General features: G+C 38.3%; 1 annotated feature.

The window, feature by feature from the left end:
• Positions 6,839–7,039: a silencer, noted in NCBI's record as "peak3170 fragment used in MPRA reporter construct". NCBI's record gives its function as "represses an SCP1 promoter by STARR-seq MPRAs in K562 erythroleukemia cells {active_cell/tissue: K562}" and the evidence as "EXISTENCE:reporter gene assay evidence [ECO:0000049][PMID:32103011]".

The raw sequence follows: 13,281 nt of genomic DNA, 5'->3' as shown, positions 1-13,281 counted from the left end.
CAAGATATTTTCCTTCCACATAGAAAGAAGATAGAAAGATGGCCCAGTGGAAGCAGATCTCAGAAACTGCCAGCAAAAATACACCTCTGAATGTGAAGGGATCCACCTAATGTGATAAACATTTATATTTTGAGTGCAAGTGCTGTGAGATTTAGAGAGAGTGAGGCGGAGATTACTTGGAAGCCACATCGAGGGAAAGTTCCACAAGGAAACGTAGAAGATATTAGGCAGCAGCAGATCTCAGGAAACTTGGGCAAAAGTGCACCTCTGAAGGTAAGGGGCTTTCTGTAAAATGCAGAAGGGAGAAAGAAGGAAATGATCAACATAAGAGCAGTCATCAGTGAGATTAGAAATAGGAAAATGGAGAAAACCAGTGAAACAAAATGTTGGTTGCTATGGTCTACATGTGTCTCCCACTCCTCCAATCCATATATTGAAATGTAATCCTCAATGAATGTAATCCTCAATGTAATGATATCAAGAGGTTGGGCCTTTGGGAAATAATGAGGCCCCACCCTCATGGATGGGACTGTGCTTTTATAAAAGAAGCAGAAGGGGATGTGTTTGGTCCTTCCACCATGTGAGGATGCAGCAGGAAGGCGCATTCTAGGAGAAACAGGCCCTTACCAGACACCACATTTGCCATCACCTTGATCTTGATCTTGGACTTTCCACACTCGAGAACTGTAAGCAATAAATTACCCAGTCTAAGGCATTTTGTTTTAGCAGCCTGAAGTGCCTAAGACACTGGTTCTTCAAATTTGTAGGAATATCACTATAGATAAGGGATATAGGAATACCACTAATAGATAAGGGATATCAAGTAAGGGATCTCACTACAGATTCTGCAGACACTAAAGTAATAAGAGAATACTACAAACAACTTTAGTTCACAAATTTGTCAACTTATCAGAAATGGACCAATTCCTTAAAATCCACAAACTGCTGAAACTCAAACCAATTGAAATAGTCCTGTAACCACTAAAGAAATTGAATTCAAAATTCAAAAGCTCCCAACAAAAAAGAGATCCCCAGACCCAGATGGTTTTATAGGAGAATTCTATCAAACATTTAAAAAAGAATATACACCATTGTTACATAATATCTAACAGAAAATAAATGAGAACAGAGTACTTTTAACTCCTTTTATGAGGTCAATATTATCCTGATAACAAAACCAAACAAGAAGGAAGGAAGGAAGGAAAGAAGGAAAGAAAGAAAGAAAGAAAGAAGGAAGGAAGGAAGGAAGGAAGGAAGGAAGGACGGAAAGAAGGAAGGAAGGAAACTGCAAACCAATATCTCTCATAAGTGTAGATGCAAAAATCCTCAATACAATATTAGAAAGCTGAATCCAACAATGTATAAAAAGAATTATGCACTATGATCAAGTGGGGTTTATTCCAGGTATGCAAGACTTATTCAACATTTGAAAATCAATCAATGTGATCCACCATATCAACAAGCTGAATTAGAAGGATCATATGATCATATTAATTGATGCAAAAAAAGCATTTGACAAAATCTAACACCTATTTATGGTGTTAAAAAAAAGCCCCAGCAAATTAGGAACAGAGGGGAATTATCTCCATTTGATAAAGCACAGCTGTAAAAAAAAATCCACGGTTACCATCATACTTAATGGTGAAAGACTGAATATTTTCCCCCTAAGATCATGAACAAGGTGAGGACGTCTACTTTTACCATTACTATTCAACACAGCACTGGAAGTTTTAGCCACTGCAATCAACCAAGAAAATAAATGTAAGACATACAAATCAGAAAGAAAAAATAAGGCTTTCTTTATTTACAGATAACATGATTGTTTACATAGAAAATCTCAAGGAAACTATTAAAAATCTCTTAGAACTTAGAATAAACACCAGTTTGGAGTGTCTAATTAACCTCTCCAAAGGAGGCAACCAGATACGCACTTGATCAGGTGCGGTTTAAGTAATAAGTATGCAAGACTTATTCTACATTTGAAAATCAATCAATGTGATCCACCGTATCAACAAGCTAAATGATTAGCAGTAACTGTAGACTTTTTTACAGCGGTGCTTTATCAAATGGAGAATGAGTTCAACAAAATTGCAGAATACAAGATAAACACACAAAAATGAATTGCATTTGTGTGTACTAACAAATAACATATAGAAACTGAAATTAATAACACAATATTATTTAAGATCACTCCAAATACAATTAAATACTTAGGTATGTACTTAACAAAACATGTACAGGATCTGTATGATGAAATTACAAAATATTGATGAAAGAAATTGAAAAGAACTAAATAAATGGAGAGACATACCACGTTCAGGAATTGGAAGACTCAACATAGTAAGGGTGTCAATTTTCTTCAAATGAATCTGTAGGTTTAATGCAATTCCCATAAAAATTCCAACAACACTTTTTGTAGGCATAAATAAACTTATCCTAAAGTTTACGCAGAAAGGCACAGACCCTAGAATAACTAAAACTATCTTGACAAATAAGAATAAAGTGGGAGGGTCACTCTACCCAATACACAGCTACAGTAATCAAGACAGTGTGGTGTTGGCAGAGGAATGACACATAGATAAATGGAATCGAACAGAGAACTCAGAAATAGACCTACAGATACACTCACTGAATTTTGACAAAGTACAAAAGCAAATTAATGAATAAATGGTAGTCTTTTAAATAAACAGTGCTGGAACAACAATGAAATGAATCTCAACCTAAGTCTCACTCCTTACACAAAAATTAACTCAAAATGGTATAAAACTATAAACTTTTAGGAAAAAACCCATAAGCATTAACCCTTGGAATCTAGAGACAGAAAGAATTCTTAGACTTGACACCAGAAGCGTGCTCTGTGAAAGGATTGATAAACTGAACTGCATCAAAATTAAAAACTTTTGCTCTGAAAAAGCCTATGTGAGGACATTGAAGAGACAAGGTTCAGACTAGGAGGAAAGACTTGCAAATCACATCTTCAAGAAAGGACTGGTATCAAAAATATACAAAGAGGCCGGGCGTGGTGGCTCACGCCTGTAATCCCAGCACTTTGGGAGGCTGAGGCAGGTGGATCACCTGAGATCGGGAGTTCAAGACCAGCCTGACCAACATGGAGAAACGCCGTCTCTAATAAAAATACAAAATTAGCAGGGCGTGGTGGTGCATGCCTGTAATACGAGCTACTCGGGAGGCTGAGGCAGGAGAATCGCTTGAACCCAGGAAGCAGAGGTTGTGGTGAGCCAAGATCACACCATTGCACTCCAGCCTGGGCAACAAGAGCAAAACTCCTTCTCAAAAAAAAAAAAAAAAAAAAAAAAATATATATATATATATACACACACATACACACACAGAACTCTTGAAATTCAATAGTTTTTTTAAAAAAATCTAACTAGAAAATGGGTAAGACATGAACAGACATTTCACCAGTGAGAATATACAGATGATAAATAAGCAGGTAAAAAGATGCTCAACACCATTTGCAATCAGGAAAATGCAAATGAAAATCGTAATGAGATATGCATTTTTGTGTAGTGAATTCCCAAGTATTTCGTTTTCTTTGGAGTGGTTGAAAGTGATATTGTAAATGATATTGTGCTTTTAATTTCAGTTTCTGTATGTTTTTGTTAATATACAGGAATATGAGTAATATTATGTGTGTTTTATCTTGTATCTTTTCAAGAGTGGCTAAAATAAAAAATAGTGACAACATCAAATGCTGGCAAGGGATGAGTAACTGGACTACTCATACAGTATGGGTGGGAATGTAAAATACAGCCACTCTGGAAAACAGAGTGGCAGGTTTTTAAAAATAAAACTAAATATGTAATTACCATACAACCCCGCACTCACACCCTGTGGCATTTATCCCAGAGAAATGGAAATTTATGTTCACATAAAAATTTTGAATATTCATAGCAGCTTAGTTTGTAATAGCCAAAAACTGGCATCGGCCCAGATATCCTTCAATAGGTGAGTGGTTTAACAAATTGTAGAACATGCAAACCATGGAATGCTATTTAGAATAAGAAGACACAACTATTGATACCTGCAACAATTTGAATGAATTGCCAGGGAATTATGCTGAGTTAAAAAAAAAGCCAATCACCATTATTCACAATAGCAAAGACTTGGAACCAACCCAAATGTCCAACAATGATAGACTGGATTAAGAAAATGTGGCACATATACACCATGGAATACTATGCAGCCATAAAAAAATGATGAGTTCATGTCCTTTGTAGGGACATGGATGAAATTGGAAATCATCATTCTCAGTAAACTATCGCAAGAACAAAAAACCAAGCACCGCATATTCTCACTCATAGGTGGGAATTGAACAATGAGAACACATGGACACAGGAAGGGGAACATCACACTCTGGGGACTGTTGTGGGGTGGGGGGAGGGGGGAGGGATAGCACTGGGAGATATACCTAATGCTAGATGACAAGTTAATGGGTGCAGCGTACCAGCATGGCACATGTATACATATGTAACTAACCTGCGCAGTGTGCACATGTACCTAAAACTTAAAGTATAATAATAATAAATAAAACAACAACAACAACAACAAAAAGCCAATCACAAAAGATGTGTAATCTATGTGATTCCAGTTATATAATATTTTTTGAATGACAAATTTTAGAAATGGAGGACAGAGTAAAGGGGGGTGGTGGAATCCAGAATGGGTGTAGTTCTAATAGGGCCACACCAGGGATCCTGCAGTGTTGAAATTGTTCAGTATCTGACTATGGTGGTAGTATAATTTTGCAAAATTTTACCACTGGAAGAAATCGGGCACAGTATAAAAAGGGTCTCTCTGTATTATTTCTTCTTTTCTTTTCTCAGCTTTTATTTTAGGTTCAGGGGTACATACGTGGGTTTATTAATGGATAAATTGCATGTCATTGGGGTTTGGCGTATAAATGATTTCATCACCCAGGTAGTGAGCATACATAGTACCTAATTGGTAGTCTTTCAACACTTACCCTCCATCCATTCTCCCCCCTCACGTAAGCCCTGGTGCTTATTGTACCCCTCTTTGTATCCATGTGCCCTCAGTGTTTAGCTCCCATTTATAAGTGAGAACATGAGGTATTTGGTTTTCTGTTCCCCTGCTACTTTACTTAGGATAATGGCTTCCGGCTGCATCCATGTTGCTGTAAAAGACATTATTTCATTTTTTATGGCAGCATAGTATTCCATGGTGTATATGTATCACATTTTCTTTATCCAGTCCCCTGTGGATGGGCATTTAGGTTAATTCCATGTTTTCGCTATTGTGAATAGTGCTGCCATGAACATGTGAGTGCATGTGTGTTTTTGGTAAAATGATTTCTATTCCTTTGGGTATACACCCAGTAGTGGGGTTGCTCGGTTGAATGGAAGAAATTTCAAAGAAAAAAGGGAGAGTAACTTATTTTGGGGAGGTGGTGATGAAAGAGAAGCCTTCTCTGAAAGAGGGAGACATAAGCCAAGATAGAAAGGTAAAGAGGGGCAGCAGGATGTGCAAAGGCCCAAGGCGGCAAATGACTTGGTGAATCCATGGAAACAGAAGAAGTCCAGTGAGAGCGGAGTCTTGTTAGTGAGGCACAGAGGGTGTCAGGTGAGGCTGGAGGCGGTGGCCCAGGTCTGGCCCGGCAATAGGCTGTTGTAAGGGCTGACCTTCTGCCTGTGAATAAGGGGGGTCATGGAAGGTTTCAAGCGTGAGAATTACACGATCTCCTGTGGTCCTGGGGCGTGTGGGGAATGGCTTGGAAGGTAGCCAGGTGGCACACGGAGAGGCCTTTTCAGCCATGAAACCGTATGGTAGGAGGACTACTCCAGCCTCCTCAAGAAAAACATTCAGGTGATGAGGTTCATTTTGAACGCATTGAGAGGGCACAAGCGGAAGAATATTATATCTCAGCCCTGGATTTAATAAATAAAGGGCTTGTTATGACTGTTAGCCTTCTGGCTCAGCAGAAACTGGAAAACCAGCTGAAAAATCCTGGTTCAGGTCTACAAGAAACCAATCCAGAGGTCACTTCACCAACTGGGTAACCGCTTCGGATTTCCTTTTTTGGGTTATGCCCTGGAAACCAACACCCATGGGGCGGAGCTTGGGTTACCCTCATGACCCACCAGGACCACAGTTGGAATCCTATGGTCACCTGACTTGCACTTCTGCCTGTAACAAATGTTCTTTCAGTTTAAAGAATACCTGGCTTCTTGTTTAGGTGGCAGTGTTCGGGATTGCATCTTTTGCTTTTGGCCAACTTAAAATGAAGAAAGTCAGCTCTCAGGGCCTGGAGGAGCAGGAATAAGTCAAACATGAAGCTCAGGACTCAGCCCTTCAGCAAGGAGAGCAGAGTTAGGAGAGACAGAGGAAAGCCCCCGCCCCACTACCCCACCAGGACCAAGACCGGACACAGACATTTATTGCTGTTTTCAAACTTGACAAAGAGGTTCTCCATGTAACTCTTTCTTACGTTTTATTTTAACATTTCACCTATCAAAAATCATCCTTCCTTCATCTTCTGTGTACTTGGGACTATGATGGCTTGATGTCAGGAGTTTGAGGCTTAGTGAACGATGATGGGGTGCCTGTGAATAGCCACTGTACTCCAGCCTGGGCAACATAGTGAGACCCCATCTCTTAAAAAAATCATATGAAATCACTTGAAGCCTTCAAACAAGTTAAATCTCTCTCTCAAGCTAATTATCAGGAGACTAGTGAAAACTTCTATTTGCCAAGTTAAAATCTCTAAATAATGATTGTTCATTTTATGAGAACTGTGCCTTCAGTTATCTCACGAACACAAAAAGTGCCACAAAATTAGGTGAAACAGAGCAGAGGGAGATCACATGTGGTTTGGGCCACACAGATTACAGGACCTCAGCATGATTCTATGTAAGAACTGCTTTTTGGTTCGTTTCAAGATACAGTGAGAACTCTTGGCCAATGAATCTCAGAAGCAGATGGTCTGCTCCCAAACATTCCACGAGGTTCCACCCAGGCTCTGCTTGCTTATCAAGAACTGCTCACCAGTAACATTTCAGAGTGAGTTGCATTGCCCAGCAGTCTCACCTCTTTTTTAACAGGCTTCCATCCTTATCTCAGTGACCAGCCTGGGAAGGAGTGAATCTTCAAAATCATCTGGGGGAGCAAACATTACATGGGCAAAACTCTTTCTACAATGTTGCACATCTGGGTGCGGTGGCTCACCCCTGTAATCCCAGCACTTGGGAAGCCGAGGTGGGTGGATCACCTGAGGTCAGGAGTTCGAGACCAGCCTGGCTAACATGGGCTCTACTAAACATTTTTTAGCAGAGACCAGCCCTGCTTCTACTAAAAATACAAAAAGTTAGCTGGACGTGGTGGCGGGCACCTGTAATCCCAGCTACTCAGGCTGAGACAAGAGAATCACTTGAACCTGGTAGGCAGAGGTTGTAGTAAGCTGAGATTATGCCACTGCACTCCAGCCTGGGCAACAAGAGTAAAACTCTGTCAAAAAGAAAAAAAAAGTTGCACACACTGTAGAGAATCATAAGCATGAACAGGAATTTAAACAATATCATTGAACAAATCATGGAACAGTCCCCTTCCCCCTGACATACAGAACAGTAAACTGGGATCATAAATTCAAATGCCTAGAGGGAGCAGGCAGGTACTGTAAACAAACAGAGCAGGCAGAAGTGTGCACTAGGGTGTGGTGAGGAGTGTGGCGAAGTCACAAATGCGTCCCCCATTTATAGGGGCAGCACCAGCACTGATTGTCTTCTGGGAAAGCAGGCCCAGTAGCGGATCTTCTGATTTTGCAAAAGCTTGCAACCTGGATTTTTATATGAAATCCTTGGATGTTTAAATGTGACTAATTCTAATTTTCAAGACACTGTCCAGGCAAATGGCACATCTACAAAGAGCATCAGACCAGCATGCTACCAATTCCTCTCTACTAAATTCAACATTTTTTCCACATTATTCGCCTTTTTCCTCTCCTTCCATCCCCAGGAGTTAAGCGGGAAGAAAGGAGCTTCCTCTACAATCTGCTCTGGGCCTGTTTTTTGATTTTCATTTCTTAATTCAGGTTCAACCCCTAGCCTGTCCATTTGGGCTGTCTCTAGCTGAGGCATTTTGGGAAACTGCCAGGTGGAGGAGAACACAATTTGAAGCTCTCTATTTCCTTTTCATTTCTGTTTATTTCAGTGGTGGAATCAGAGCAGCAATTATGTTGTTACAGTAACAGCCACTTGTGTTGCAAGGCAAAGAGAGGAGTAAAGGATGAGAGAAGCCCAGACAAATGGGAGGAACAGCCTGTCAACTGTAATCACAGGCTGAGTGCTTTGAGAGAAGGAGATGTACTATTTCTTGCTCTTAAAAGATTCATGGCTTTAAAACTATTCAAAAGGACTTTACATGAGCCTCTGAGTAGGAAATAAAACCTAAAACATTTCCACTTAATGGCAGTGACTAATTCTTGAGATTGCTATATTGATAGAACCAGGGCAGTGTGAGATCACAAGAAATGAACTTCACACATGTGGCAGATGCTGTTGGGTGTCAATTACAAATCAAAGCTGCCCTCCTTCCTTACCGAGAGAGTCTTGATTTTGTTTAGGGGCTTGCCCCTCCTGCAACATGACTCATCGGTAAATCCTAATTGGGCGAGTCCAATCATGATGCCTCGATTCCCTTCATTAGTGTTGGCTTTAGCGCAGCCATGTAGCCCATGGGGTTACTAAGTTGTGAGGCATTTAGAGATCTCTGGGAAAGGATTTATCCCTATTAATTAGATGAAGCCTCAAAAGAGATAGTCCTTCTTCTTCCTCTGAATTTTGTCAGGTCTGGATGTGACACCTGGAGCTCCAGCAGCCATCTTGTGACTGTGAGAGAAGTCAGCTTAAGGACAAATTGGAAACACTGCTGGCAGAGTGGGAAAATGGAAAGACCCCACCTCTGAATATATATTTTAGTCACTGAATTACCTTGAACTAAACAAGCCTGAGTTCCTCCTTCCCTCCAGAATAATCTTCCTTCTCCTTCTTTTTCTCCTCCTCCTCTTCCTTCTTCTTCCTCTTCTTCTTCTTCTTTTGAGACAGAGTCTTGCTCTGTCACCCCAGCTGGAGTGTAGTGGTGCAATCTCGGCTCACTGCAACCTCTGCCTCCCGGTTTCAAAGGATTCTCCTGCCTCAGCCTCCGGAGTAGCTGGGACTACAGGCACCCCACCAACACGCCCAGCTAATTTTTATATTTTTTGTAGAGACTAGGTTTCACCATATTGGCCAAGCTGGTCCCAAACTCCTGACCTCAAGTGATCTACCCACCTCGACCTCTCAAATTCCTAGGATTATAGGAGTGAGCCACTGCACCCAGCCTGGAGTTCTTGTATATCAGATAATAAATCCTTTTATCTTTCATGCCAATTTGAGCTGAGGGGTTTTTTTTTTTTTTTTTTTTTTGGGCGGGGGGAAGGAGTCTTGCTCTGTCGCCCAGGCTGGAGTGCAGTGGCGCGATCTCGGCTCACTGCAAGCTCCGCCTCCCGGGTTCACGCCATTCTCCTGCCTCAGCCTCCCAAGTAGCTGGGACTACAGGCGCCCGCCACCGCGCCTGGCTATTTTTTGTTATTTTTTTTAGTAGAGATGGGGTTTCACCGTGTTAGCCAGGATGGTCTCGATCTCCTGACCTCGTGATCTGCCCGCCTCGGCCTCCCAAAGTGCTGGGATTACAGGCGTGAGCCACCGCGCCCGGCCTGAGCTGAGGGGTTTCTAACAGCCACAGGTATGCTCATTGTTACAATGTTTATTCCTGAAGGTCTGCACAAATGGTCTTTCTATCTAGAGTCCTGTGGAATCATTCAGTCATCATCATCTTTTAATTAGTTTCGTGAATCCAATCACAGGGAAAACAAAAACAGTGCCATGTGTTCCCTTCTGCCAGAGTCCAGATTGCTTACCTTAGTCCAGTTTATTTACCAAGACCCCTTGTTTCTGAGATGATGTAGATGGAAGAGTGCAAATATACCTCCCTCATGTGTTTGTACAGAAATGCATGCATAAAGATAGGAGTGATACAGCACAAAGTGGGTTTTTTTCCATGTAAATAGATACTTGGAAATTGTCATATCTTGGGTTTAAGTTTAGTAATACGGTTTGTCTGTGTCCCACCAAAATCTCATTTTGAATTGCAGCTCCCATAATCCCCACGTGTCGTGGGAGGGACCCAGTGGGAGACAATTGAATTATGGGGGCAGTTTCCTCCATGCTGTTCTCATGATAGTGAATAAGTCTCATGAGATCTCATGGTTTTATAAGAGGTTTCCCTTTTCACTTGGCTCTCATTTCTCTCTTGTCTGCCACCATGTAAGATGTGGCTTTCATCTTCTGCCATGATTGTGAGGCCTCCCCAGCCACATGGAACTGTGAGACCATTAAACCTCTTTTCCTTTATAAATTACCCAGTCTTGGGTATGTCTTCATCAGCAGGATGAAAACTGACTAATACATGTAGAGATTAAAAGTGACGCCCAATCTATAAAACACGATCTTCATTGCAGCCTTTTGTTTTCAGAGATGGAGGGTAGGTGAAGTCCTGAAGACCACATGTTTGTAAACCTGGTTTCCTGGCACTCAGTCTTGAGAACGAGACACAGGGCAGGGCAATTTCATACTAAACATGGGGGCCTATTGTCTACGCATCTTCTAGTCATGTCAGGCTTAAGACCTCCTGGCTCCAACTTGGTTCTTTCTCGGATTCAATCTTGTCATAGCTGACATGGCAAACACCTCTGGTTGCCTATCAAACATCCATTTTCTTTTCCTTATTAAGAGAAATTTTGTTTTTGTTTTGTTTTGTTTTGTTTTCAGGGGAGCAGGGAGGTGATGTGGTAGAAAGGTCCTCACTGAAAAATCATATTTTCCAGCTTTCTTTGCTGCTAGAGATAGTCATGTGTCACAGTTCTGACCAAAACACCAAGGCTGAAGATTTCTCAGAAAGTTTTGTTTTCATGATATGCAGATCCTACCCTTTTCTGTTTCCCTCTCTCTTTTCTAAATGAAACTGGAGTGCGTTGGCTGGAGCTGCAGCCACCATTTTATAGCTAATCATGAAGGGAAATTAAAGAGAATCACAAAGATCTTGGCTCTGAATCCTCGGATTACTGCACTGGCCTGCACCTCTAGCCTCTAGACTTCTTGTGATGTGAGAGAAAATTAAACTTCTGTCTTCTTTAAGCCATGGATATGTGGTTTGATTTGGTTTTGTCACATGTATCCAAAAACTACTTCTAATTAATACAGATACAACTGACAGCCAAAGTACCAAATGTTTCTAAAGGAGAGGGTGCTGGATTGTCAATTATCAGTATAAATCAATAGGAGAAATCTCTTATTTGGAATATTAAACAAAAATAATTAACAGATTGGATTTTTACATTTAAAAATATACATTAAAAACTCTTAGAGTTAAATTAGGAGGCAAAAGAGGATTTTTAAAAATATGATTATCATGTTTTCTTCATGCCCAAAGTGTGTGTGTGTGTGTGTGTGTGTGTGTGTGTATATATATATATATATTTTTTTTTTGACACAGTCTCACTCTGTTACCCAGGCTGGAGTGGAGTGGTGTGATCTTGGCTCACTGCAACCTCTGCCTCCCAGGTTCAAGCGATTCTCATGCCTCAGCCTCCCGAGTAGCTGGGATTACAGGCATGCACCACCATGCCTGGCTAATTTTTATATTTTTAGTAGAGACAGGATTTTGCCATGTTGGCCAGGCTGGTCTCAAACTCCTGGACTCAGGTGATCTGCACACCTCGGCCTCCCAAAGTGTTGGGATTACAGGTGTGAGCTACTGTGCTCGGCCACCAAAGTATATTTTTAATGTTTAAATATTTATTTAAACAAGGGGTAAAGAATCTGAGCAACACTCTTGGAAAGAGTAGTATATAATTAGTGTCAGAGAGTGGAAGGATGAAAAATACATTTTCTTCCTTGAGGCTATTGGAGTTTCCTTTGGAGTATAATATATCCTTGGCATTAATCAGGTGCTCCTCTCAATCCACCCATATCATGATCTACCTTGTCTGTCCATCATATATATGTTATACAATACAACATATATATGTTATATAATATATATAATCTATTATATATACTATGTTATATAATATATATACTATAGTATATATAATCTATTATATATAATATGTTATATAATATATATACCATGGTATATATAATATGTTATATAATATATATACCATGGTATATATAATATGTTATATAATATATATACCATGGTATATATAATATGTTATATAATATATATACCATGGTATATATAATATGTTATATAATATATATACCATGGTATGTATAATATGTTATATTATATATATACCATGGTATGTATAATATGTTATATTATATATATACCATGGTATGTATAATATGTTATATTATATATATACCATGGTATGTATAATATGTTATATTATATATATACCATGGTATGTATAATATGTTATATTATATATATACCATGGTATGTATAATATGTTATATTATATATATACCATGGTATGTATAATATGTTATATTATATATATACCATGGTATGTATAATATGTTATATTATATATATACCATGGTATGTATAATATGTTATATTATATATACCATGGTATGTATAATATGTTATATTATATATACCATGGTATGTATAATATGTTATATTATATATACCATGGTATGTATAATATGTTATATTATATATACCATGGTATATATAGTATATATATAATATACTATATAGTATATATAATATATATATAAATACTATATAGTATATATAATATATATACTATATATATAATATACTATATATATAATATATATACTATATTATATATTATATATTATATAATATATTATACATTATATAATATATAATATATTATATATCATATGACATATGATATATAACATATGATATATAATATATAATATATATCATATAACATATGATATATATTATATACTATATGATATATTATATAATATATCATATATTATATAATATATGATATAGTATATAACATATTATATACTATATCATATATTATATAACATATGATATATTATATAACATATTATATAACATATTATATAACATATAACATATTATATAACATATGATATATTATATAACATATTATATATCATGTTATATAATATTATATATCATATGTTATATAATATATTATATATAATATGTTACATAATATATTATATATAATAT

The sequence above is a fragment of the Homo sapiens genome, chromosome 18, assembly GCF_000001405.40.
Source record: "Homo sapiens chromosome 18, GRCh38.p14 Primary Assembly".
Lineage (NCBI taxonomy): Eukaryota > Metazoa > Chordata > Mammalia > Primates > Hominidae > Homo > Homo sapiens.
This window is presented reverse-complemented; position numbering and strand designations above follow the sequence as displayed.